The sequence below is a fragment of the Homo sapiens genome, chromosome 9 (assembly GCF_000001405.40).
Source record: "Homo sapiens chromosome 9, GRCh38.p14 Primary Assembly".
Lineage (NCBI taxonomy): Eukaryota > Metazoa > Chordata > Mammalia > Primates > Hominidae > Homo > Homo sapiens.
This window is the reverse complement of record NC_000009.12, coordinates 137,867,567-137,893,647: the sequence shown is the minus strand read 5'-3', so window position 1 is coordinate 137,893,647 and position 26,081 is coordinate 137,867,567. Positions and strand designations below refer to the sequence as shown.

At 58.1% G+C, this 26,081-nt stretch overlaps 1 protein-coding gene and 2 long non-coding RNA genes across 4 annotated transcripts in view, besides 5 other annotated features; 1 reads left to right on the top strand and 2 right to left on the bottom strand.

The window, feature by feature from the left end:
- CACNA1B (calcium voltage-gated channel subunit alpha1 B) overlaps positions 1-15,866 on the bottom strand; it is a 246,838-nt gene extending 230,972 nt beyond the window's left edge. For both annotated transcript variants that reach the window (NM_000718.4, NM_001243812.2), the window contains exons 1-3: positions 15,431-15,866; positions 14,489-14,594; positions 10,765-10,904 (exon numbers count right to left, since the gene is read on the bottom strand). In NM_000718.4, the coding sequence (NP_000709.1) occupies positions 10,765-10,904; positions 14,489-14,594; positions 15,431-15,714 (530 nt within the window). In that variant the 5' untranslated portion in view covers positions 15,715-15,866. The remainder of the gene's footprint in view (positions 1-10,764; positions 10,905-14,488; positions 14,595-15,430) is intronic.
- CACNA1B-AS2 (CACNA1B antisense RNA 2) lies at positions 1,078-25,723 on the top strand. The gene is made up of 4 exons (NR_121583.1): positions 1,078-3,602; positions 10,646-10,811; positions 17,968-18,185; positions 25,411-25,723. It is a non-coding gene; the product is annotated as a CACNA1B antisense RNA 2 (long non-coding RNA).
- Positions 1,086-1,586: an enhancer, noted in NCBI's record as "H3K4me1 hESC enhancer chr9:140786514-140787014 (GRCh37/hg19 assembly coordinates)". NCBI's record gives its function as "activates a minimal SCP1, AML or CMV promoter by ChIP-STARR-seq in naive H9 embryonic stem cells {active_cell/tissue: H9 hESC(naive)}" and the evidence as "EXISTENCE:reporter gene assay evidence [ECO:0000049][PMID:30033119]".
- On the bottom strand, positions 2,422-5,607 carry LOC124902320 (uncharacterized). Its single transcript, XR_007061887.1, has 2 exons — positions 4,682-5,607; positions 2,422-4,622 (listed from the first exon to the last, which is right to left on the bottom strand). It is a non-coding gene; the product is annotated as an uncharacterized LOC124902320 (long non-coding RNA).
- Positions 7,443-8,033: an enhancer, noted in NCBI's record as "H3K4me1 hESC enhancer chr9:140780067-140780657 (GRCh37/hg19 assembly coordinates)". NCBI's record gives its function as "activates a minimal SCP1, AML or CMV promoter by ChIP-STARR-seq in primed H9 embryonic stem cells {active_cell/tissue: H9 hESC(primed)}" and the evidence as "EXISTENCE:reporter gene assay evidence [ECO:0000049][PMID:30033119]".
- Positions 11,988-12,489: an enhancer, noted in NCBI's record as "H3K4me1 hESC enhancer chr9:140775611-140776112 (GRCh37/hg19 assembly coordinates)". NCBI's record gives its function as "activates a minimal SCP1, AML or CMV promoter by ChIP-STARR-seq in primed H9 embryonic stem cells {active_cell/tissue: H9 hESC(primed)}" and the evidence as "EXISTENCE:reporter gene assay evidence [ECO:0000049][PMID:30033119]".
- Positions 14,758-15,673: an enhancer, noted in NCBI's record as "H3K27ac-H3K4me1 hESC enhancer chr9:140772427-140773342 (GRCh37/hg19 assembly coordinates)". NCBI's record gives its function as "activates a minimal SCP1, AML or CMV promoter by ChIP-STARR-seq in naive H9 embryonic stem cells {active_cell/tissue: H9 hESC(naive)}" and the evidence as "EXISTENCE:reporter gene assay evidence [ECO:0000049][PMID:30033119]".
- Positions 18,908-20,107: an enhancer, noted in NCBI's record as "MED14-independent group 3 enhancer chr9:140767993-140769192 (GRCh37/hg19 assembly coordinates)". NCBI's record gives its function as "activates an origin of replication core promoter dependent on BRD2, BRD4, P300/CBP and CDK7 cofactors, and independent of MED14, by STARR-seq in HCT116 cells {active_cell/tissue: HCT116}" and the evidence as "EXISTENCE:reporter gene assay evidence [ECO:0000049][PMID:35650434]".
- Positions 25,724-26,081: the final 358 nt, after the last annotated feature.

The window sequence follows — 26,081 nt, the reverse complement described above, 5'->3', positions numbered from 1 at the left end:
ACAGAGTCTCACTCTGTCGCCCAGGCTGGAGTGCAATGGCGCGATCTCAGCTCACTGCAAGCTTCGCCTCCTGGGTTCAAGCGATCCTCCTGCCTCAGCCCCCTGAGTAAGTGGGATTACAGGCGCGTGCCACCTTGCCCGGCTCATTCTTTTGTATTTTTAGTAGAGATGGGGTTTCACCATGTTGGTCAGGCTGGTCTCGAACTCCTGACCTCGTGATCTGCCCACCTCAGCCTCCCAAAGTGCTGGGATTACAGGCATGAGCCACCGCACCCAGTGTTTTTTTTTTTTTTAAAGGGGGGAGTTGTTAATATCAGCGTCTAGTTCTTGGATTTATAAAATTATTGTTATTAAAACAGCAGCCAGCACATAATAAACCTCACAAAAGAGTCAGCTTTAAAAAAAAAAAAAAAAAAGGGCCAGCTTTTATTTTTTCTTTTACCTTTTCATGTCTCAGGAGCTGTGCTGCTCACTTCTAGCAGCTGTGCACCGGGCCTTCACCCACATGCCCACGGTCCCAGGCTGTGGATCCTGGCAAGTCCGTGGAGTAAAGGCACCTCCTGGGAGGGTGGGGGGCCTTTGCCCTCCTGGAGAGAGCCCCTCACTGGAGATGGCACAGAGCCCAGCACCAGGCGAGACACGGAGTGCCATGGCGGCCCCCCTCCCGTGTGTCCCTGTATCTGTGTGTCTGGGCGTTTCAGGCCTGTCGGGCTCTGGGAGCCCACGCACCTCTGATGCATGCCAATGGAAACACGGCGGCCACCCCACCTGCTGCTCCTGGTCTCTAGTCTCTGCCTGTCTGCCTGCAGTGTCGAATTCCACCCAGTGCTGAGTAGGCCCGTGATGGGAACAGGGACACCATTCCCTCCCCACACGCTGTACTCCCAGAGCAAGGCTTTAAGACAGCAGGTGCTGGGGTGGGACCGGCAGGCAGAGCAGGAGGTGGTGCTCAGGAGCCCCCACCCTTGGACGGGAGGCTGCCCTGTGCTGGGGGACGTCCCTCCTGCCTGCAGTCTCACAGTGCCCCTCCTCCTCACCTGGTCCCACCCTTGGCCCCTTCGGGGTGCCTGTGGCTCCAGTGCAGCTGTGTTGTCAGGCCCAGAGGCTGATGACAGAGAAGCGTGAGAAAGGACCCACAGTCAGAGGAAAGGGGGAGAACTATGGCGGATTCTGCAGACATCAAACCATCTAACCATTTCACGATGCAATGATGCACCAGCAACAGCCACATGGCCACAGTGGACCCCGCAGGCCTGGCCCTGCATCCCGCCTGCCCCAGGGTCTGGGGTCCATCGGATCAGCACCGCCCACCACAAGAAGGCAGTCATCTGCCAGCCAGGAGGAGAGGCCTCGCCAGAAACCAATCCTGCCAACACCCTGATCTTGGACCTCCAGCCTCCAGGACTGAGAAGGAAATGTCTGCTGTTGCAGCGCCCGGCTGTGCTGCTTTGCTCCAGCCTCCCCAGCAGACCAGTGTCCAGTCGTTCAAGGGAATGAGCCTGTCAGTAGAGGCTGGGCTTTGTGGTGAGCCAGCAGGGAAACTTCTCGGGGAGGGAGGAGGGCAAAGAGAGGCCAGCCTGGTGGGGAAGAAGGGGTGGGAGTGGAGAAGACACAGAGGCCGCACACTGAGTGAGGAGGACCAAGGCGCAAGGCCCTTTTCACCAGGCTCCTGTGCTCTCAGGGGAGACAGGGAGGGTGGCATTGGCTAGAAGGGCCTGCCCAGCCCTGGAGAAAGGAGCTCACAGCAGGGTCGTGAAGAGGGCAGGGACTGGGTGGGGGGTGCTACCATGTGACCTGCTAGGAATGAATCTGCGTTAGCGTCCGTCTGGCTGGAGTAGAGATGCTTCAGCACGTGTGGGGCTGCACACAGGCACGCAGGGTGGAGGCCCCTCCACTCTACAGCCCCACAGCCAGCACCTGCCTTCTCACCTCTTCTAGTCCAGGGCCCGAGAAGCCATTAGCAACCATCCTCACCTCAGTGTGAATCTGCAACTCTGCCGCTCCAGTGTGAAGGAGGAGAAGGAGAGCAGGAAGGGGTGTCCACCACCACGTGCCCACAGGAGCAAGGCTCCCACCCTCCCGGGGTATGAACTTGAACCCCTGTGACCTCTGTGGGTGCATCTGCACAGAATGCAGGTCCCCTGTCCCCCAGCCACCGCACCACACCAGCCTAGCCATCCTCGCGAGCCGCCACAGGCCTGGGACCCCCCAGGGCACTGGAACACAGCAGCCCCAGTGAGCACCTGGAGCCCGAGCCTGGACCGGAGGCCACGGACGGCTTCGAACAGGCCAGCCCCCAGGAGGGGCGGCTCTTCTACAGCCAGCCCGGCACTGCCCGCCCAGCCTCCCAGATCCAGAGGCAGCTGCTCCAGAGAGAGTGGGGGCTCCAGGGACTTCTCCCAAGCAAGATGAAAACACAGGTTTTTGCGTGAAAGTTCCTTCTTAAATACTGACAGCAAGTTTAGAGCCCATCTCAGATCCCTGGCTGTGCTCCATCAGCCCAACAGCCACAGACCCAAAATTTAAAGTAGCCATGCGCCCTGAGAGCCCAACCTGCCTGGCCACGCACAGGCCAGCCATGGTCCCAGGAGTGGGCGTGTGCCCCCGACACCACACAGCTGTGTCCCTCCCTTCCATCCCCCACCCACAGGCAGAGCTGGAAAGATCAGCACCACGGAGAGAGACGAGCATGGCCAGTCCCAGGCCCCCAGGCCGCCCTGCCCACCTGCCCCATCCCTCCCGAACTGTCCCCTCAGAGCTGGGTCCTGGGCTGAGACTCCCCAAACTGTGACCTTCAAGGCTTCTCACACAGCTCACCCCAGCCTCACGGCCTCCAGCTCTGCCGCTCACTGTCCCCACCACACTCTCCCTGGACCCCCACCCCTCCAGCTGCTGGGGCAGGAAATCAAGCCTCCGACTGACCCTCCTGGTGGGACCCCTGAAGAGAAAGGCGTGTAAGGGGGACTCTGTGCACACCTGCGTAAGGGGGACTCTGCACACCTGCAGAACCGCCCATCCCTGGAGCCCGGCCTGCAGTCACCGTCGAGAGGAGAGGCCTGGAGCACAGAGTGGATCCTGTGGCATGGGGACTTTGCCGTTGGCAGAACACGCACCCTGGGGGGAAGGGCCCTGGCTCCATCGTGCCCAGCAAGTACCTGGCCCATATCAGGGACATATGAGTAAAGGACAGACCACCTGGTCCAGTCCCCACTTGCCTGAGGACAGCAGCCCAGACCCCCATGAATGATGAAAGTCCTTCTCTGGGTTGAGCTGAAACCTCCCTTCCTTATCTCCCACCCATGTCCCCCGTCCCCCTGGGAAAGTCTGCGGTATCCAAGGGCAGCCCTGGGCTCCTTCAGCTCTCCAGTCCCCATGGTGAAAGATCCGCAGAGAGGCCAACCCTCCCTTGGGTCGGCTATGCCAGGCGGGCATATGAGAGGCCCCAGACGTCTGCAACGCTGGCCCGATGCCCATCCAGTGAGCCAGCCCCGCGCTGCTTCTATCCAGGGAGTCTCTGGATTTGGGCTCCTCAGGCAGCAGAGCACACATGGAGACGCGGAGACCCCAGAGAAGACCCCACAGGACTGGAGCCCAAGGCCAGGGTCAGCCTCCCAAGCACAGCACAGCCAAGCCCCAGGTCTCATGCCCGGGCAGTGTGGACCCTCACCCCGCACAGAATCAGGGGACCCTGGGGGCTCTCAGTGGGCCCAGTTCTGCCCCCCAGTCCAGGAGAGTGTTAAGAACCCTGAAATGCAGGAAGGAGGCAGAGAGGGAGGGGGGAGACACAGAGAAAGAGAGCGGGGGCATGGGCCAGGCCCTCCATAAGGACCCAGCCAGGGGCGTGTGCTGAAGAGGGGGCCAGGATCCCACCCTATCAGAGCAGCACCTTCTCAGGCTGTTACATCCCCAGCATGGCTGCCAGGCCTGTCCCCACGGACATGGAGGCCCGATGGGAGGCCACTGTCAGGAAGGGGCACCAGAGCTTGGTCACAGGGTCCTAGATCAGCAGCCACCCGCCACCGCCCCACCTGGTCCTCACAGCCACACCACATGGACTGCACGTGGGCCAGGGCCCTGCATTGTGGGGTGGAGTTGGTGGGTTCTCACTGACACGAGGGGGGCTGTGGAGCCCCCAGTCAGGCAATGCCTGGAGTGATCCCAGCCCCAGCCCCAGAACACGGGGGCTCTCCCTGCTTTCCAGGGACTTGTCAGAACTCAGCCCCCGCTCCACCGGTTCCAGCCACACTAGGGGTGAGGGAGGGAGGGTCAGGGCCTACAAAGGCCATTTCCAGACTCTGGTAGGGAAAGGGAGAGAATGTCTGGCAAACCCCAGCCCGACCCGGCACTGGAGGTCGGGGTGCTGCACCTCCCGCAGGGCTGCAGTCCAAGGACCCCAGGCTGAAGCAGAGCCTGTGGCAGAAGAGTTCCGTCACAGCACGGACACACCCAGCTCGGTCCATGCTCCAACGTGTCCTGGCCCCTCGGGCACAGTGTCTCTTGTCACCTGTGTTCAGACACAGTGTCAGGTCGCCTTGTGGGAAGGCAGCGTCTCTGGGCTGTCACCTGTGTTCAGACACAGCGTCAGGTCGCCTTGCGGGAAGGCAGCGTCTCTGGGCTGTCACCTGTGTTCAGACACAGCGTCAGGTCGCCTTGCGGGAAGGCAGCGTCTCTGGGCTGTCACCTGTTTTCAGACACAGCGTCAGGTCATCCCTGAGCCGCACACTTGCACATGGGCTGCTGCTCCCCTGGGTGGACCCTCCTTGCCCATGGGGACCCTCTGTGGGGCCCTGAGCTGGGCCTGGCTTCTCCCTGAGAAGTGCCTGCCACCATCTGAATCGGCCTGCGTCCACAAAGCCCAAAAGAACAGGAGGCCACAGTGGTTGCCCAGGAAGCTCAGGGTCAGCAGTGCCTCGGCCCCTGAGCTCCGCTGACCAGACTCCCTCCTGGTGCAGCGGCCACACACCCACACACCCTCTCTTCAACCCACAGGAGGCCGGGTCCAGGGAGAAAGCTGGGCTCTAATTACATGTCCTGGAAAGAAATCCCAGTTTAATTTAGACTAAAACAAGAAGCCGTGGTTGGAAAGCTCCCCCGGAGAGCCACCTGCCTGAGCCAGGATGTGTTTCTCTGATGTCCCCAAGGGCCATGGAGGGTAGCACCAGGCTGGAGCCACAACAGGGGTGGGGACGCGCAGGGCTTTGGGGTTCTGGGGGCCCTGCCCATGTCCCTGACCCCCAGGTGCAACCAGCCCCACAGGGCCAGAGGCTTGACAGGGGCTTCCTGAGGGGCCCGGGAGGGCAGAGGCAGTGACGTGGGGACAGGACTGGGAGCGTGGATGCACGTGAGACTGGCTGGGGCACGGAAGGGGAAAGGCACCTGCGCCGATGGGTGACAGACTCCGGAGGCACCACGGGGCTTCCCGTGGGCTCTACCTTTTCTGGGTGTCAGAGCCCACCTGCCCCGTTCTCCAGCGCCACTCCCTGGTACAAACCCTCACCACTCCCACCTGGATCACTGCTTCCGGCTCCCACTCTCCTTCCCTACCGTCTACACTGTGCCCCCAGCACCCATCACGAGTCAATTGGGCCACACCTGTGCTCAGAGCCCTCCAACGCCCGAGCCAAGGCCCCCCTGCCCCCGCCACCCTCCCAGCCTCTCCCCTGCTGGAGCTGCTCCCCAGGGGCCACCCCACCCCAGTGGAAGGACACACTACACCCCGACTGCCCTGCAACACTCACTGCCTGCCTCGCCCAGGAGGACGCAGCCTCTGAGAGGGCAGGAACGGCCTGTGTTGTGCACTACTGTGTCCCCAGCAACTGGAACAGGGACGAGGAGGTAGTAGCTGCGCTCGACGAGCCCCTTCCTAAGGAATGAGTGAATGGATGACAAGGGGACAAAGAAGGGGTGGATGGAGGGTGGGGCAGGGGGAGTGAGAGGCTGGGGCAGCGGATGGAGGGGCTTCTAGTCCACGCACTCACTCACTCGCTCCCTCTCCCTCTGTCTCACTTCGCACCCCACCTTGGCTGATGGACGTGCTTCCAAATTCAGTGGAAACTTGGACACAGTTAGAGGACTTCCACGCCACCCTTCCTGCATCTGCTGGTCTATGCAGATGCACAGGCCCGCACTCCCGGAGGTCCTGGACTCTGCTTCCCTCACGGCTCCAGGGCTGTCCCCTTTCTGTCCACACTGTCCACTTGTCCTTCCCTCCTGGACTATGCACGTGGCATGGACGGGCTGCAAACCCCCAACTTCATAAAACTCTCCTGGCCTCCATCTCCCTCCTGCCCCTGCCCCTGTCACTCTGCCTCACTTTGCTGCAAAACTCTCTAAAAGACAAGCATTGCCTACAGGTGCCCACCACAACCCCTCTCCTCCCATTCCCAGCAAGCCCTCACCCCCACCACATGGCTGGACCAGCTCCTGCCTCAGACCCACGGGGCGCAGTGCACAGCCTTGGGTCCTCTCGTGGCCTCTGCAGAGGCCTCTGCATGCTCTTCCTTCCTAGAACACCGTCTACGCCAGGCACACCTCCGCTGCTCCGCCAACCTCACCGCCAGCTGCCACTTGTAAGTCCAGGTGCCCTGGTCTCCATCACAGGGCAGCTCTTCCTCCACACTTCCCATTCCCTGGGGATCCTGGGTGGTCTCAAGCTCTGAAGATGACTGGGACACCCATGTCCCTCGAATCACCACCTCCAGCCATACCTCTTCCCAGGCTGCTAGATGGCTCACCCCTCACGCTCTCCAGTCCTTCCTCTGATGACCCTATGCAAAGTGGCACCTCCAGGCCTGCACCCTGCATGCTTTATCTCATTTCATATGTGGGGAAAAAAAGCCCGCCACTCATCACCATCCACTCATCCGTCCACCTGCCGACTGCTCTCTGGGGCACGCCCATGCCGCAACTCATCACCATCCACTCATCCGTCCACCCGCCGACTGCTCTCTGGTCATCCGTCCACCCGCCGACTGCTCTCTGGGGCACGCCTATGCCGCTGTGCACCACACCAGGCTGCAAAGAGACCAGGCCCGGGAGGTGTCTTGTCCCCAGAACATGGGCCACCGGGCAGAGGTTCAGCTGTCTTCCTTCACTCCTGAGTCCTCAGCACCTGGCAGAGGCTCCATGAACACTGAATGAATGAATGATGAACAGGTGGAGGGAGGGCTGGCAGCAGGGCTGCCCACCTGGCTGGACAGACACAGGGCCAGAGAGCTGAGCAGAGGGCAGGATGGTGGATGGGGCATGGACGGGAAGGCAGACGAAGGCAGGGAAGTGGTGGCCTTCCCGCCTCCTCCCACCTCCTCCCCGTGGCCTGAGGTCCTTAAGAGCTGCGCCCTAGCACTCAGTGGGGCTCTTGCTGGAGTGAACTGCTGGAGGCCCCCATGTCAGACACAACCGGACCCCTGTCCTCACCCCAGGCCCACTCTGTGTGGGGAGCCGGCTCAGCCCCGACCCCACCCTGGTAGCACGGTGTTATTGGAAGCCGGGGAAGGGAAGCCTCACTCCTGGGCCCAGAATCTCTCTTGGCAAATGATCCACTCAGACGACCACAGGAGACGGCCAGGCGCCAGGAGCCCTCCTGGAAAGGAGGCAGAGTCCTGTGGCAGGGACCCAGCCACTGTGACCTCACCCCGGCCCAAGCGAGTCAGAGGAGTTCCAGGTGGCCACACATGGGCTGACCCAGTCAAGAGCATGGCTGGGAACTGAGGGCCTGGAGGCCCTGGGCACACACAAGAGCAGGAAGCTGCCAGCAGCCCTCACAGGCCTAGGGTTTCTCAGAAGCACACTCTGATGATCCTCACAGTACCCCAGCCCAGGCCCCACAGCTGCTCCCCAGGGCAGCAGGAGCTCGGCAGCATTACAGCCGACTACAGCCCCCCCACAGCCCAGACGCACTCACGCAGGCTAACAAAGGGTGCCCCAAAGTCCTGGGAGAGAAGCAAAGCGGAGACAAGGGGACAGAGCGCCCGCCTTCCCTCCCAGGTGAGAACACGGAGGCTCAGAGCCTCTCCAGGCAGCAGGAGGCATGGACCCAGGGCCTCCTCCATAGCTCCACACCAGCCTCAGGAGCAGAGCGGCCCCAGCTGGCCTCTGAGGGTGCTCAAGGCTTTGCCAAGCAACAGGCCAGGGTGTCTGCCTCTCCCTCCAACCCTCTGAGCACCAATTAAATCAACTCTAATTAAAAACAACAAACTAATGAGAAATACCGCCCACTACCCACAGGCCCTTGGCTCACAGGGGTGAGGTGAGGGTTCCTCCCTGGGCTCCCCATGGACCAGCACTCGCCGCACAGCAGACCCAGCCCCCTCCACACACAGATACGCACACAGGGGTTCACGTGTCCCCAGGTGCCCCACACGAGAGCAGCAAAGCGGCTCCCTCCCGTGACTTGGAGCCAGCATGTGGCCCCGTGGGACACAGATCACCTCCAACCCGGGGTTCCCTGCACAACCCAGGCTGCCTGGAGGGAAGACGTGTGGAGGCAGAGGAACCTGGGAGCCACCCCAGCAACGCCCAGGCCCTGCTGCAGACACAGGCGAGCAGAGACGTGCCCAAGCCAAGGGAAAGAGGGGCAGAAGAAAAGAGGGAGAGGCAGAGAGACACCAAGACACCAAGAGGGCCAGAGACAGAGAGCGTGGAGAGGAGACAAAGGGCTAGACAGGCAAAGTGGGAGGAGGGGGGGGGGGAAGAGGGGAGAGGAGGGAGAGGGAGAGAGATGAAGAGAAACAGAAGAGGGAGGCGGGAAGAGGAGGGGGAGGGGGAAGAAGGGGAGGGGAAGGAGGAGCAGCCCTGGACCCAGTCTATGTGTGCTGGGAGATCCAGGGGTCCTGCCCATGGCTTGGTGCAACTCCTCCTGCCTCCTCTCCTGGCCCTCAAGGGCCGACACACTCAGCACCATGGACAGCGCCCCATGAGGCCGGGTGCTGCCACCTCTACCCAGCTGCCCGCTGGCCCGCACCCCCCAGCACTGCTTACACCCCAACAATTCATTACTTCAGCAGAGGCACACTGCCCCTCCTGGGTGCCCACTCCAAGTGAGGCTCTAGGGACCTCCTGAAAAAAATAAGGCACCGTTGTCCTCAGGGACTTGGGTCCACAGGGAGAGAGAGGGGTAAACAGCTACCATGACTCCTGGGCTGCTTCTGGGAGTGCCCACTGGATGTGGGAGCGCCCAGTCCTCTGAGAGGCCACACTCTCCACCAGCCACCTCCCACCCCAGCCCCCAACGGGCATTGCTAGCGGAACCACAGACCCCCACAGGGCCTTCCATAAATTCTACCCCAGGGCCGTGGAGCCACAGACCCCCACAGGGCCTTCCATAAATTCTACCCCAGGGCCGTGCTGCAGAAAGGCACAGAATCCACCTCAATGCTGCTGTGCCCAGCACATCACAGACAGCTCTGGGGGCTGAGCCTTCTGTGTGACACTCCCAAGCCCAGACAGCTCTGGGGGCTGAGCCTTCCATGCGACACCCCCAAGCCCAGTTCTGTACATGCTGCTCTCACCCAGCAGGGGCCAGCCCCAGGCTCAGGAGCAGGCAGAGCAGATGGGGGCAGCACCCCGGGATCCAGGCAGGCAATGCGAGGCTCCCTCTGAGGGCCTCACCCAAGAGACCAGAGGCCATGTAGCCGACTGCTTCTTCCTCACACACACAGAACCTTGAAGGCATGAGCCCCAGACTCGAGGACTCCACAGCCATCTCCTTCCTCCTCTGCCACCAGCCCAAACACCCCTCCATATACCCTCCTGTGCACCAGGCATCTTGGGGCAGTCACTGGGTGAGGATGGGGCTCTGGAAGGAGAGCTCTCGCCTGCTGTGGGGCCTGCTCCCTCCTCTTCCATCTGGGCTCTGAGCCTCGGAACCATAAGGCTCAGGAAAGAGCAGACAGTGGTCCCTGGCCCAGCACAGGGCCTCTGACACTGAAGTGCTAACAGGCTCTGTGGGGGCAACTCCCCAAGCACTCACTCCCCAGCCACCACTCTCCACACCAGAGCCACAGCAGCCCAGCCCAGCCTTCCGCCTGCCAGTCAGGGAAGCAGGAAAGGGGACCTCACAGTGCCCACTGCACAGGTTGGGGAGTTAACACCCTGGAGGGTGGGGTGCAGAGCACTGGACCTGAGCTCCCATCCAGGCCCCTTGGGTCCATCTTCTAGATGTGCTGGTTACTTTGGCAATCACAAGCTGTTGTTAGGGTAAGTGGTTGAGGAGAAACTGCCGAAGCACCTTCCTGGCACTAGGAACTGTGAAAGCACTCGACACACACAGCCTCATCCCAGGCAGCACAAGGGCTCTGAGCGAGGTGGACACCACAGGTGAGCGTCTCAGGCAGGCACAGAATTCAAACCGCCAAGTGCCCCTCCCAGACCACAGGCTTGGGTGAGGCCAGAAGTCCAGCCCTCCTCCTCGCTAGGAAGCCCCTCACCTGGGCAGCAAAGCCACCTCCAACAGGCACCATGCTGGCTCAGGCCAGCCATGGAAGCTGGTGGCCCCTGGCCTGTGCGCTCTGCAAGCCAGCGCCTCCTGGGGACAGGTCACTGTGATCCGTCAGCGAGAAATACAGCACTGGCACCCCTGGGAGAAGCACCCCCATAGCACACAGGGTGGCAAACAGACTGTCTCACATTCGTTCATCTCCAGCAGGGCTGTGAGGGGACCCCAGTGAGGGGACTGCAGCTGCCCCAGCTCCACGGCGCAACTGAGCTTCAGAGAGCACACGCCCGGGCCTCACACGCTGGGCCTCCTGGCCTCAGCTTGCCTACCCTGTGAGGACGACCACGAAGTCCATGACGTTCCAGCCGTTCCGCAGGTAAGAGCCCTTGTGGAAGACAAAGCCCAGAGCGATGATTTTGATCCCTGCCTCGAAGCAAAAGATCCCGATGAAATAGGGCTCCGTGTCGTCCTAGGAGAAGCGCAGAACAGTGGTCACCCCTGGCCCCTACCCGGTGTAGTAGCGGGCAGAGACGGTTGGTGAGGACCCCACCCCACCATGTGCAGGCCACAGCTATCGTGAGGGTCTGACCCTCCTCACCTTGCCCCCAACACCCTGCAGATTCTCCAAGGAGCCATTCCCATCACTGAGCCTGCTTGCTGTCTGCACATGTCCCCTAATGGGGACACCACTGTTTACAGCAGCAACATCCCAGTCATGCCTGCAGGCCCCTCGTGCCTCCCACCCTGGCATCTCAGCTTCTGCCCACGTCACAGTGGGGCCCCAATCTCCCTGCTAGCACCATGCAGTGGGCCTTGCTTCGGGGAAGACAGTGATGTAACAGTACTAGTTGTGGGTGCTTATCAGGTAGTTTTTCCTTTATCAACTAGGGTGGCCCTTTAATACCCCATGAGGTCATCCCCATTCTAACATGTGGGAGACAGAGGCACAGAGATGCCCAGGAGCCAGGCAGAGGCCACAGCAGCCTCTGGGTGGGAACCTGCACAAGGTTGCCTGGATACAGCTCAGGCTTTCTTGAACTCAGTCCAGGCCCCGTTTATGCATTCAACATGCACCCGGGTAACCAGAACATGCACATCTCGGCAGAAAACAACAGAAATGAGAAGCACAACCTCAGCCCTGAGTGTGCTGAGCGACGACCGCCACATCTGTGAGGACCCTGGAGGCAGCCAGCCACAGTCTGAGCCTGAAGCTGGGAGCCACCCTGGGCTCAGACCGCAGGGAGCCTCCCAGAGGGCGTGGCGCCTGCAGGCAAGGCTTCCACAGCTCGATTTTGAGAAAGGGATCCAGGTGGAGGGAACAGAGCAGCCAAAGGAATGAAGACAGCTGATCCTAAAAAGATCCCTTTCCTGCACCCCAGGCTGAGCTCCAGCCAACAGTTACTGGACATGAGAGAGCAGAGCCAGGCCCTACCAGTGCCGAGCTGGAAGCAGCAAACAGGGTGGAGATGGGGCTGTGTGGAGCTTAGGGAGACCCCAAAGACTCCTCGTGAGCACACGCGTGGGGCTGGCAGGGAAAGGCCCTGTGCAAGGCAAGCCCGGGAAGCTGGGCTGAGGGAGCTGCATGTGCAGGGTTGGCATGGGGGTGTCGGACACCTGCACTCCAGGGCTGCTGCCTTAGGAAGCAGGTGAAGGGGTGGGGAGAGGAGACCAGCTTCAAGGGCCTCCCCTGAGGGTTCGTCTTCAGGACTGTGGAAGTCACAGGAAGAAGCAGCTGCTGGGCTGCCACAGAGCTGCCAGGTGAGGTGAGTGCCACCAGTTCCACAGCCTGTGCCTTCCTCCCCAGGAAGCCAGGCTCTCGAGGGCTCTCCGCATCTGACTCCCACCTTACTCAGCCTGGGCTCCTCCTGTCCTGTGGTGGAGCTGGCCCAAGGCTTGGCTGGCAGTACCTGGTAGAAGCTACCAGCACCCAAGGGTCCATCATGACCCGTGCTGACTCGCCCATGCTCTTCCTGGCCTCGAGCCTTCTGGTCTGATTTGTTTAGGAGGGACCCCTTTTCCCAAGGGGTGGGGTTGCTGACCATCTGCCCCAGGGGAACAGTGGGGCCGCAGCAGACAGAGATCTTCACAGGAAACTTCCTGGTGAAAAAGAGAACAGGCCCGACGCCTAGGAAGGACCAGCCAGCACCCTCAGCTGGGAAGGAGCCCCCAGCCCGAGCCCTCTCCTCACAGCTCTGCCCTGCCCAGCCCATGGCTGAAGGCTGGCTTAGGTGGGAGGGATGGGTGTGCAGGCAGCTTGGTGTTGCACTGCAAGCTGGGGCCTGGCTCGAGGTAGCTCCAGAGTCGACGGGGAGGTGGGAAACAGCCCCGAGAGGCAGGGAACCAGGGAGGCCTCGCCCAGGGCCAGGCTGGGAGACAACTGAGGGGCTGCCCCTGCACCACCCAGCCTCGGCCTGCTCTGTGGGCAGCAGCACAGCCTCCCCTCCATCCCAGGGGACATCAATGGCTGGGCCTGCACATGGGACTGGGACTGGTCAAGAGCTCCCCAGACCTCTAGGCTGGCTCAGGGCGGGCATGTTCTGCAGTTTTCCCAACAGGTTAGCTCGCCACTCCTAGAAGTGTCCTCCCCAACCTATGACCACAAAGTAAACCCTCCCACACCTGCGAGGCAGGAACTTGCAAGGCTGGACACCCACTGCCTGGCAGGGCAAGACAGCTTGATCCTCCCTGCCCCCGCCCCGGCCTGGCTCCTGGGCCTGCGTCCCTCTGACCCTGGCCCTGCCCTCCTTCCTGTGACTTGGCATTCAAGGCTCTCTGCCTGTTTCCTCTCAAGCTCACCCTCTTCTCCAGCCTCCAGAAAGCAATGGGCCCCACCAGGGTCCTGCCCAAGTCCCCCACAGGGACCATGACTCACGCCTGCCTCATGGTGTGGCTGGGCTGTCCATGCTCCTCCTCCTCACCCGGCCGTAACCCAGACCACTGGGCATTCCAGACTGTGCTCCATTAAGACCTCCTCACCTCGGCCACCCATAACTCACCTCCTGGTGCCTCACCTCCAGGACAGGCTCCCTGTCTCCCCTTCTGCACTCCTGGGCCTGCGGTGGCCCAGGTTCAAAGGGAGTTCAGTTTCAGGGCTAAAGTCTGAATAGCTCTTGTCTCAGGATGCTAGTGGGGGCGGAAGCCAGGCTTAAGGGAAGAGGGAGCAGCTCCTGACACCCCAGAGAGGCCGTCTCCTGGACGCCTCTGGCCCCGCACCCCCTGGGCCCCCACTTGCTCTGCCTTCTGCTCACCTGGAGGCTCCAGTCTTTAGGCACACTCGGAACCCAGACATGGGGCCAGGCATCAGGGAAGAGTGGGGGCTGGGGGACATGCTCTGACCTCAGAAACTGCTCACCTCCAAAATGCTGCCCTTCCTCTGACCCAGCCCCTCCAGAGACCCCACAGGGCTGGCCTTCCACCTTGCCTCCTGTTGAGCCACGGAGACCTTGCCCTGGCACCCTGACTCACACAGACTCTATGCTCCAATGGGGGCTACCACGGGGGCCTCTTGGCTGGAATCTGGGGACAGGTAAAAATGATTCAGAATGTTTGAGAAGGAATGCTTCCCACAGGATGGTGAGGCCCACTGGAGAAGAGGTTCCAAGCAGGCCCGCACAAGACAACTTGGAGGATGAGGCTCAGGGTTCCCACATCCAGGCCAAAGCCCATCTCAGCCCAGCAGGGCACACATGGCATTCAGAGCTGACCTTCCCGAAGACATGAATGCCCCTTCCCCACCCCAAGTTTAGAACATGGTTTTCTGGATCAAAGTCTAGCGCCGAAAGCCAGGACAGCCATTGAGGTGCAGGAGTAGCTCGTGGCACAGGGCAGACTGGCCCAGGGCTAACGTGGCCACGCCCAGGGCTAAGCCGGTGACCCCAGCTGCCCTGGCCCTCGAGGAAGGTGTTATCTGCCAGGCCTACCTTTTCCTTCAGACGCGAGGGGCACTGCCCAGACGACCCTGCCCGAGGAAGCTGTTCTCAGGCACAGACCATAAAGGAAAGTGGAGTCGCGGCCTCCCCACCACCCTGCCCTCAGGCCCAGCCGGGCACTCACCAGCCGCTCGGACATGGGCGTTTTGTCCCCATCAGGGAGGTGCTGCTCCAGGGCCAGCACGATGCAGTTGGCGATGATGGTGGCCAGGATCATATACTCGAATGGAGTGCGTGAGTTAAGGACTGGCCGGCAGACGCCGCACGGAGGGAAACACGAGGCCGACGCCAGCAGAGCCCAGTGCAGCAGCCACCGCTAGGCCGTCTCCGGAGGGGCTGAGACAACTGGGTCCGGAGCCCCTCTCCTGGCGGAAGCGGCCTGGTCTCCCTCACTCCCTGCCCCCATCCCTAGGGGCGGCCGCGAGGCGGGGCCTCCGCAGTCTGGGCCGCCAGCCCCTCGGCACACCCGGGCGGCCGTCAGCACCGCGGACAGCGCCTCCGGCCCGGCTCCGCCCGACTCCAGGGCCCCGAGGGGAGGGGGCCGAGCGCCCCCAGGCGAGGCTGGAGGGAGACCCCGCGCAGGCGCACGCTGCTCCCTCCAGACACGCAGCCACATGTACCTACACAGGCACGTGAACATGCATGTAGCCCGCATCGCGAGCGCACGCACGCGCAGCGCCAGGCTCCAGCTCAGCCCGCACACGCAGGCACCTGCAGCCAGGCGCGCGCACGGCCGCGTCCCCACAGCGCTCGCACCTGCACGGACGCGGCTTCGCCCTCGGTGCCCTCCAGGCTAGCCGCGCACTGTGCACCGACCAGGATCCCCAGGACCCGGCGTGCGGAGGGACGAGTCCGGAGCAGAGGGGCTCCGCCCCGCGCCCGCCGCACTCACGGAAATGCTCCCGCACCCGCCGCTCCGAGGGGCCCTGGGGCGCTCCGTACCCCCCTCGCCCGTCTCCCGACGCCTCCCCAGGTCGCGCCCTCCCGGCCACCGGGAAGATGGCCCCGGCCCCGGCCCCCACCCCGGTCCCCGCCCGGCCCCGCCCGGCCCCGCCCGGCAGGATATGGCCACTCGGTGATGCGCTTCGCGTATTTGCGGACGACGTTGTCCTCGCTGAAGACGAAGAGCGAGCGGTTGACGGTGAAGCAGTTCTGCTTGACCGGGATGGGGTTGTACAGCGCCATGGTCCGCGCGCGCTGCGCGATCGATTGCTTGTAGAGGACCCGCTGGCCGGGCTGCAGCCCCCCGGGACCCGGGCCCCCCGCCCCGCCGGCCCCGCCGCCCCGGGCCCGCTCTCCGCCGCCGGGGCCCCCATAGCGGCCGCCCAGCTCGTCCCCGAAGCGGACCATGGCTCCCGGGCCCCGCGTGCATCCCCGGCCCAGCGGCCCCGGCAGGGAGGGCGCGGGGCGCGCCAGGCGCTCAGAGCGGAGCAGCCACGGAGCCGCCGGGACCGCAGCGGACCTCGCCCGGCCCCACCGCCGCAGCCGCCGCCGCCTCACCCGACTCCGCGGCCCCGCGCCACGCCCTATAAGGGGCCGGTCACGTGGCGGGGCCCGGCCAATCCGCGCCGGCCCCGCCCACCCTGCCGCGCCGGCCCCGCCCCGCGGCCGCCCCCGCCCCGCCCCGGCCCCTCCGGCTGCGCCTCCCTCGCCCCGCGCCTCCCACCCCGGGGCTGGGCCGGGCCCAGGAGCGGACGAGCCTGTGGGTCCTCGACGGCCGCTCAGCGCCAGCCCGGGCCGTCCCCGGAGCCCACTCTGCCGGCCGCACCGCCCCTGGGTGCCCTCGGCTCCTCAAACTCGGCCCAGACGGACCCCTCGCTCCGCCCGGAGGCGCCACCAGCCCTGGGGCTGCAGCCCAGAGCTGGGCGCCAGGCCTGGGCCGGCCCGCCCCGTCCCCGCCGGGTCCCCGGCCTTCCCAACCCTCCGGGTGCGCTCGGCTCGCGGCCTTGGTGCCACGCGGACGCTTCTGTCGGGGGCCCCCAGCCCGGGTGCGGGACCTGCTGTTTCCACGCACGGGGCTGGCTCCGGGATCTCAGCTCAGAGAAGCCTCTGACCGCCTTGCAGGCCACGCCCCGTTAGGGAACCTGTCACGGTCACTGCCATTCCCCAGGCCTCCTTGAGCGCCCACCGCGGGCCGGGCCTGTCCTGGGCTCCCAGCTCTGCCCTCACGGAGCTGACCGTTTTGTACAAAGCACAGCAACCATTTACACAGCGCTCACTTCGTGCAGGCCCGTGGGTCCTCACAACCTCCAAAAAGGCGGCCCCGGGGTCGGGGAGACCTTCGGGAACAAGGGACCCTCTCGGACCTGAAGCTCGCTCGCAAGGCGCTGAGTGCAGAGTGAGGCCGGGTGCGGGCTGCGCCTTCTGAGAGGGAGGCAGTCCGCACAGTTCCGAGCAGAGGCGCGTAGGCCTCTGAAGGGTCCCTCGGGCTGCCGTGTGGAGTGTGGACTGCAGGAGGCTGGGGTGCTGAATCACTTAGGATGCATTCAGAGGCGAACAACCCGCTTCCCAGCTAGCAGCAGCTTGCACGATGCCATTGTGATCTCACTGAATACGAAGCCACCATCTCTCCTCCCTCCAAAATCCCCACATACACTTTCTGCCTTCCTGCCTGTTGCCTCATGCCCCAGGGTGGCTGTCATAGCACAGGGCATCACACCGCTACACCAGCATCTCAAACGGGAAGGAAGTGGCAGGTGTACAAAGGATGACCACTTTGTGAATCAGGTTACGATTTTCTTTTCTAACAAAGGAAAAGCTTCTCAGAGGCTCCCCCTGCAAGTGTCTCTTTAACCCCGTTAGGCCATGGGCCATGTGGCCGGCCCTGACTTTAACAGGGTGGGAAAGTGAACATGTGTCAAAGTGGACCAGGATGGCCAGCCCCCACTAGGCGAGCACATAGTTGCCCCAAACAAAATCAGGGTTCGCTTAGCTGGGAAGCAGGTGCTAAGGCTGTCGGGGAGGCTGCCAACTGGCCTGTCACAGAGAAAAATCAGAGCCCAGGGAGGGGTTTTGACAGCAGCACAGAGAGAGATGATGTGGTTTGAACATGGGGGCCATGAGCAGTGCCTCTTTCTCTTAGAGAGAGTGCGTCCAGTGTAAATGTGAAGGAGAGATAGAAACACAGGCTCTTCATTTTTGGTCTGAGTGACTGAGTCGAGGGGGATGCCCTTTGCCGAGATGGGGAAGACAGAGGGAAGAGCTTGTTAGTCACAGGGTGGAAATTAAGAATTGCCTACTGGGGACAGAAGTGGAGATGCTATGCAGGGGTGGAGTTTCTCGAGGGATGCCAAGACGAGAGGCCACTGCTGCAGCCCTGCGCCTGGAGGCTGGGCTCGCCACATCTGCTCTGCCCTTCCCTCCGTGCTGCGTGACGCTGGAGCTGGCCTTTGAAAGCCACATCAGCCTGTTCCTTGACCTGTGGTTTCTGGTTATGCTAGCCCAACAGGAGCACCAAAGGCCCTTGAGGGAAGGAAAGAGCAAGGCCAAGGTGTCTACTATTCCCCTGACTTCCTCCTGCCAGGTCACCGAGGGTTGGCTGTGCACCTCAATTGAAGCTCCGGCCCTGTCAGGCACCCACCACTCTCCTTTCTCTCTCTCCAGTTCCAGTTCCTGCGTCCTCCCCTTGTTCCTGCCAGCGGGGGATGGCATCACGCAGGCATGGTGAATCCTGGCCCTTGGGACTTCCCTGCGCCTTGCACAGATCGCACAGATTGTGGTAGATGGTCCCTTGCAAGTGTCATCCTGCCTGATGCATCACCACCGAGGAAGCGACCGAAGTCAGAGACAGAGGATGCTGCCACTCCCCAAGAATGAAGCCGGTGAGGAGGAGCAGCCAGGGCTGTGGGGGGTCGGGGGAGTGCCCTGTCCCGGAGCTGAGGGAGGAGTGCGTGTAGTCCATAGAGATGAGGACCGACATTCAGCCATCAGAGTGGAAAGACAGAGGTGCCCATCACCCGGACAGCAGTTTCCACAGAGGAGCAGCCCGAGTGGGGCGGATTGAAGAGAATGAGTTGTGAGGAAGTCCCTACAGCGGGTGTAGACAGCTCGTTCAGTGAGGAAGTCCCTACAGCAGGTATAGACAGCTCATTCAGTGAGGAAGTGCCTACAGCAGGTGTAGACAGCTCGTTCAGTGAGGAAGTCCCTACAGCAGGTATAGACAGCTCGGTCAGTGAGGAAGTGTCTATAGCGGGTGTAGACAGCTCGGTCAGTGAGGCAGTGCCTACTGTGGGTGTAGACAGCTTGTTCAGTTAGGAAGTCCCTATAGCGGGTGTAGACAGCTCGGTCAGTGAGGCAGTGCCTACTGCGGGTGTAGACAGCTTGTTCAGTTAGGAAGTCCCTACAGCAGGTGTAGACAGCTTGGTCGGTGAGGAAGTCCCTACAGCAGGTGTAGACAGCTCGGTCGGTGAGGAAGTCCCTACAGCAGGTGTAGACAGCTCGTTCAGTGAGGAAGTGCCTACAGCAGGTGTAGACAGCTCGTCCAGTGAGGAAGTGCCTACAGCAGGTGTAGACAGCTCGTCCAGTGAGGAAGTGCCTACAGCAGGTGTAGACAGCTCGGTCGGTGAGGAAGTGCCTACAGCAGGTGTAGACAGCTCGGTCGGTGAGGAAGTCCCTACAGCAGGTGTAGACAGCTCGGTCGGTGAGGAAGTCCCTACAGCAGGTGTAGACAGCTCGGTCGGTGAGGAAGTCCCTACAGCAGGTGTAGACAGCTCGGTCGGTGAGGAAGTCCCTACAGCAGGTGTAGACAGCTCGGTCGGTGAGGAAGTCCCTACAGCAGGTGTAGACAGCTCGGTCGGTGAGGAAGTCCCTACAGCAGGTGTAGACAGCTCGGTCGGTGAGGAAGTCCCTACAGCAGGTGTAGACAGCTCGGTCGGTGAGGAAGTCCCTACAGGAGGTGTAGACAGCTCGGTTGGTGAGGAAATCCCTACAGCAGGTGTAGACAGCTCGTTCGGTGAGGAAGTCCCTACAGCAGGTGTAGACAGCTTGTCCAGTGAGACAGGGAACAACACAGATGCAGCATTAAGGAGTTTTTTGTTTGTTTGTTTTTTAAGGTAGGGGATATTATTGGACTTCGTATGTGATGGCAATGACTCAACAGAAAGAAAAATTGCTGATGCAAGAAAAAGAGTGTCTTGCCTCGTCCAGGCAAGAGGGCATCAGACTTGGGACAGCTCACTCGAGGCAGGGAAAGAAAAGCGGGTCGCACGATTGCAGGCACAGGTGGGCTGGAGGATTCATTTGGGGGAGGATGAGGGTTTTATTGTGATTATTCTACTTTCTCAGTGAAACAAGAAACAAAACAAGCAACTGAGAGTGAGAAGGGGGCATTTGCAGGTTGGCGAGGGAGGAGAGGGTTTGAAATGCTCATCCAGGGCTATAGGGAAGAGAATCCACAAGAGAAATGTGTAGAGTTGACAAGTCTGGAGCTGGGGGTGACTAAGTCCAGGACAGGCTGCGTGGTGGGCACTGCTGCAGTGTCTAAGCCAACGACCAGCGAGCTTGTCACCCCTCGAGGGTCCCATCTTCCTCCGGACCCTCCAGCACACTTGCTCACAGCCCCTCCCCCATCCCTCTCCAACCTCAGAGTCCTTCTGCTGCCCCCTGTCCCCCACCCCCATCCCTCACTCCCTCACCCTCTTTCTCACCTGGCAGAATTCCCATCTGGAACCTCCAGAGACACCCACCCAGGCTCCCGCCACTGGGGAAGGTCACAAATTGGACAGACTGGTGTCACTCTGGTTCCCCAGAAACTCCTCCAGGGGTCCCAAAGTTGGTCACAGCCCTTGCGGTGGGAGGTGGTGGTTGTAGCCACACCCCGGCCGCCCTCCACACTAGGCTCCTGCACCCCACCCTCCCAGCACAGCACCTGCAAGCCCAGCACCTCTTCAGTTGTTCCTGCGATGTCCCCTGTAGATCTCAACTCTGTCACTGTGTGCTGGGTCCCCTTATGGGGAAGCGGGGAGGAGAACTAGGAGGGTTTTTTTCTTTTTATATAATTAACATTTAATTCTACAAATAATAACAGGCACTAGGGCTCTGTGGAAGACACAGAGGATCCCAGCATCCAAGCACGGTGCAGCCCCTCCCGGACTTCCGCATCTCAGAGGTCATCACTGTCCAGAATTTTGTGTTCACCGTTCCCTTTCTCTCTGTACATCTACGTGCAATTTATTGTGCAGTTGTACATGCTTTTGAAATTCATTTCTTTTTAAAAAAAATAAAAAGTCTCGATCTGTTGCCCATGCTGGAGTGCAGTGGTGCCATCTCAGCTTGCTACAACCTCTACCTCCTGGGTGTAAGCAATTCTTGTGCCTCAGTCTCTGAGTAGCTGGGACTATAGGAGTGCGCCACCACAACTGGCTAATTTTTTGTATTTTCATAGAAGACAGGGTTTTACCATGTTGTCCAGGCTGGTCTCGAACTCCTGAGCTTAGGCAATCCGCCCACCTGGGCTTCCCAAAGTGCGGGGATTACAGGTGTGAGCCACCTCGCCCAGTCCCATGCTTTTGAAATTCACACAAGAGAGCTAAGCTGTCGTCCTGTGGTGCTGCAGCGCACTGTGTTGTTGGGTGTAGCTGTGAATCACTTGTTTTCACCACATATGTTAGTCTGTCGTGTGACAATTTATTGATCCATTCTACTTTGACGGAGATTTGTGCTGCTGTCCAATTCCTGCCATTTCAATTCTCCAATGAACATTTAATGTCATTCTCCTGGTGCTTGGACAAGAGCCTGCAGGTCTAACCCGAGGAGAGAAATTGCTGGGCCATGGGACGTGCCTCTCGACCTCACTGGATGCTGCTAACTTAGGGCCCGAAGTGCAGCGATGACCGTCCCGCAGCACCACACAGACCCTAGCTCGCTTGGCATTGTCTCCAACACTCTAGTGTTATCAGCCTTCATGTTTTTGTCAGTCTGGTAGGCATTTCAGGTCCCTCACTCTGTTTTAATCTGCTTTTTCCTGCTCACTAATGGAGTAGGGCATTTTCTCACATTCCTTGCCCATTCACGTCTTCCCCTTTGCCAAAACGCCTGTTCAAATCTTCCACCCACTTTTCAACTGGATTCTGTCTCTCCTTCTGATTGACTTGTCGAAGTCCTTACATGTTCTGGGCACAAATCCTCCATCAGATGTGTATAGTTGCAGTATCTTCTCTCACTCTGTGATTTGTCTTTTGCTTATTTCATGATTCTTTTGATATGTAGAAGTTCCTCATTATACTGTAACCGAAATATATCCAGCTTTTCCCTATGTTTTGTGCTTTTTGAATCCTAGGAAATTCTTCCTTTGTTCATTGTTGTGAGAGATTCTTTGGGAGATTTGAGAATAGATTCTCCTATATTCTCTTCTAAAATTTGTGCAGTTTTGCTTTTTCTATTTTAAACCACTTGCAAATGATTTTTCTGTATGATGTGAGGCAGGCGCCATTTTCATCATCTTAATATAATTAAATTGTCATGACACCATTCACAGAAGGGCCCCAACTGTCTGCTCTCTGCTCTGCTCAGACGAACTCTTCACCTGCTCTGGGCCAATACTCCCTGCACTGATTACAAAAGTCTTATTAAAAGGTTAATGCCTCTACCTGGGTTCTTCTTTGAATTTTTTTTTTTTTTTCAGACAGGCTCTCACTCTGTCGCCCAGGCTGGAGTGCAATGGCTGGAGTGCAATAGCACAATCTCAGCTCACTGCAGCCTCCACCTCCCGGGCTCAAGCAATCCTCCTACCTCAGCTTCCCGAGTAGCTGGGACCACAGGTGTGCACCACCATGCCCAGCTAATTTTTGTATTTTTTATAGAGCCAAGGCTTGGCTATGTTGCCCAGGCTGGTCTGGAACTCCTGAGCTCAGGTGATCCGCCCACCTCAGCCTCCGAAAGTGCTGGGATTATAGGTGTGAGCGACTGCGCCTGGACAAATTTTTGCTATTCTTGACCCTTTATTTGCCCTTATAATTTTTAGGATCGACTTGTCAGGTTATATACATGCACACAGTGGACTTTTGACAGGAATTATATAGAATCAATAGATAAATTTGGGGGAAATATACATTTTTGGTATTGAGGCTTTCAATCCTTATGCAATACATATGTATTAATTATTAGGGTCATCGTTAGTTTATCCTATAAACTTTTATAATATTCTCCAACAAGGTCCTGAACATTTATACTCTATTTATTTCTAAGTGTTTCATGTTTTTCACACTACTGTGAAGGATTCCATTTTTAAAGTTGCATTTTCTGTCACTCGTTTAGAAACCCAGTTATTTTGGGCCGGGCGCGGTGGCTCACGCCTGTAATCCCAGCACTTTGGGAGGCCAAGGCGGGAGGATCACCTGAGGTCAGGAGTTCGAGACTAGCCTGGCCAACATGGAGAAGCCCCATCTCTACAAAAAATACAAAATTAGCCAGGCATGGTGGCATGTGCCTGTAGTCCCAGCTACTCGAGAGTCTGAGGCAGGAGAATCGCTTGAACCTGGGAGGCAGAGGTTGCAGTGAGCTGAGATCGTGCCACTGCACTGCAGCCTGGGCAACAAGAGCGAAACTCCATCTCAAAAAAGAAAAAGAAGGAAGGAAGGGAGGGAGGGGAGGGGAGGGGAGGGGAGGAAGAAAGAGAAACCCAGTTATTTTGTAAATTGATTTTATGTAGAGCAACATTTCTGAATTTCCTGATTGAGTCTAATAACTTATTGTTAGATTTCTGTTTTCTATATAGATATACAAAAACAATACTTTTTTTCTTTTTCAATTCTTATAGCTTTTATTTCTTTTTCTTATCTTTCTGTGCTAGCTGAGACTCACAATGCAAGTAAGTACAAAGATGTACTGAAATGTGATAGTGGGAACCTGTCCTGTTCCTCATCTTAAATAAAATACATTCAACCTTTCATACTTACATATGATGTTTATTATATTCTTTTGTTTATTTTTATTTTCATGTTTTGAGACAGAGTCTCACTCTGTTGCCCGGGCTGTAGTGCAGTGGCATGATCTTGGCTCACTGCAACCTCAACCTCCAGAGTTCAAGCAATTCTCCTGCCTCAGCCTCTCAAGTAGCTGGGATTATAGGTGTGTGCCACCATGCCTGGCTTATCTTTTTTTTTTTTTTTTGTATTTTTAGTAGAGATGGGGTTTCACCATGTTGGCCAGGCTGATCTCGAACTCCTGACCTCAAGTAATCCACCTGCCTCGACCTCCCAAAGAGCTGGGATTACAGGCATGAGCCACCACACTCGGCCTGTTATGTTCTTTTTTTTTTTTTTTTTTTTTAGACGAAATCTCGATCTGTTGCCCAGGCTGAAGTGCAGTGGCACTATCTCAGCTCACTGCAACCTCCACCACCTCCCAGGTTCAAGCAATTCTCCTGTCTCAGCCTCCTGAGTAGCTGGGATTATAGGCGCGTGCCACCACACCTGGCTAATTTTTGTATTTTTAGTAGAGATGGGGTTTTGCCATGTTGGTCTTGAACTACTGACCTCAGGGTGATCTGCCCACCTTGGCCTCCCACAGTGCTGGGATTACAGGCATGAGCCACTGCGCCAGGCCTGTTCTTTTTTTTTTTGTTCAAAAGATACCGTTCATCAGGTCACAAAGTTCCCCTCTAGTCTTAATTTCTAGGAGTTTTTCTCACGAATAGGTGATAAATTCTGTCAAATGCTTTTTCTGCATTGAAATGACCTAATTTTTCTCCTTCTATGTGTTAAGGGAATGGCTTACATAAACTGATTTCCTAAAGTTAAACCAACCTGTCATTCCTGGGGTAAATCAAACATAATCATCTTTGCGTACAATTCAGATCTGGTTTACCAATAACTTGTCTAGACTTTTTGCAGCTGTGCACTGCACTATTCTCATCAGGTTTGGATATCCAGGTTATGCTAGCCTTGTAAATGAGTTAGAGAGCATTTCTATAGGGAATTTATATTTTGAAAGTTCAGTGGAACTCACTGACTGGGCCTGATGTTTTGTTTGTGATTTTAATTACTGATTCTATCTCTTTAAGAGTTATAAGACTATTCGGGTTCTCTATTTCCTCTTGAGTCAGTGTTAGTGCAGTTATATTTTTCTAGAAATGTATTGGCCTAAAATTGTTCATATTATCTTTTAAATCTATGTTATATCTATGGCTGTGTCCACTTTATTTATTTATTTATTTATTTATTTATTTATTGAGACATGGTCTTGCTCTGTCACCCAGACTGGACTGCAGTGGTAGAATCTCAGCTCACTGCAGCCTCAACCTCCCAGGCTCAAGCCAGCCTCCCACCTCAGCCTCCCGAGTAGCTGGGATCACAGGTGCATGCCACCATGTCCAGCTAGTTTTTAAATTTTTTCCAGAGACAGGGTCTTGCTATGTTGCCCAGGCTGGTCTCCAACTCCTGGGCTCAAGTGATCCTCCCACCTCAGCCTCCCAAAGTGCTGGGATTACAGGTGTCAGCCACTGCACCTGGCCTACCTTTAAATTGTTTATTTATGCTCCCCCTTCCCCACCTGCCCAGAGGGTTGCCATTCTGATTAGTGTTGCCAAAGAACCAGTTTTGGTTTGATTGTCTCCAGTGCATGTTAGTTTCTATCTAATTAGTGCTTCTCTTTATACCTCTTGTTTTAGGTTGATTTTGCTTCTTCGGGTGGATGATGAGCTAATTAACTTTCAGCCTTTCTTTTAAAAAAAACACACATAGGACATTACTGTTATTTTAAACAGTTGCAGTTTCCTTGAAAGTGTGCTTCATAGGCCTCCAACTATGGGAATGTCATGACCAATGGCCTCAGCTCTTGTGCTCAGAATCTGTCTCTGCATTTGTGCTGAGGCCACACTTCTTTGGCTCAAGAACTCCCTGGCAGCTTTCCTGAACCTTCCTTAGGTTGTTTAGTGATCTAGGTCACTCCCAGTCAACCTTCGTTCCCTCTCTTCCTCTCTGGAAGTTAGAGCTACTCACATTCTGAAGCTCTTCCAAGTTTCTTAGCTACCTCCATGCTTCATCTCTAATAATAACAACAATATCTAATCTTCATCATCTAATAAAATCTTCTCTCTTTTTTTGAAAGGGCTTCATTCCCATCACCTAGGCTGCAGTACAGGGGCATGATCTCGGCTCACTGCAACCTCCACCTCCTGGACTCAAGCAACCCTCCCATTCCAGCCTCCCAGGTAGCAAGGACTACAGGCACACACCACCATGCCAGGCTAATTTTTGTTTGTTTGTTTTTGTTGAGACGGTGTTTCACCATGTTGCCCAGGCTGGCCTCGAACTCCTGAGTTCAAGTGATCTGCCCACCTTGGCCTCTCAAAGTGCTGGGATTACAGGCACGAGCCACCACACTCAGCCTTCATCATCTAATAAAATCTAACCAAATCCTTATACCTTTATCCCATCTGCATCTTGGAAGACCTGGACTAACATAAGTGGCATCAGGAGAGGATCTGGGACTGTCCTGCCCACCACCCAAAGGGTGCAGAGGCTGCTGTCCTGGTTGGCTGGGAGGTCCGGTGGTCCCTGGCACACGGTGGGAGCTTCATGAGTGATGACCTGGGAAAATATCTCGGTGGAGCACAGCGCTGTGGCTGGTGGGATGATGCAGGCCCCTGAAAAACTGGGAGTGGGGAGCAACCAAACCAACAAAGACAGGACAGCGGGCTGGTTCCCCATACCGACATCCTGAGAACTGTTACCAAGCTCGGTGTGAGACTGGAGTGCCTCTACCACAGAGGTAAACAG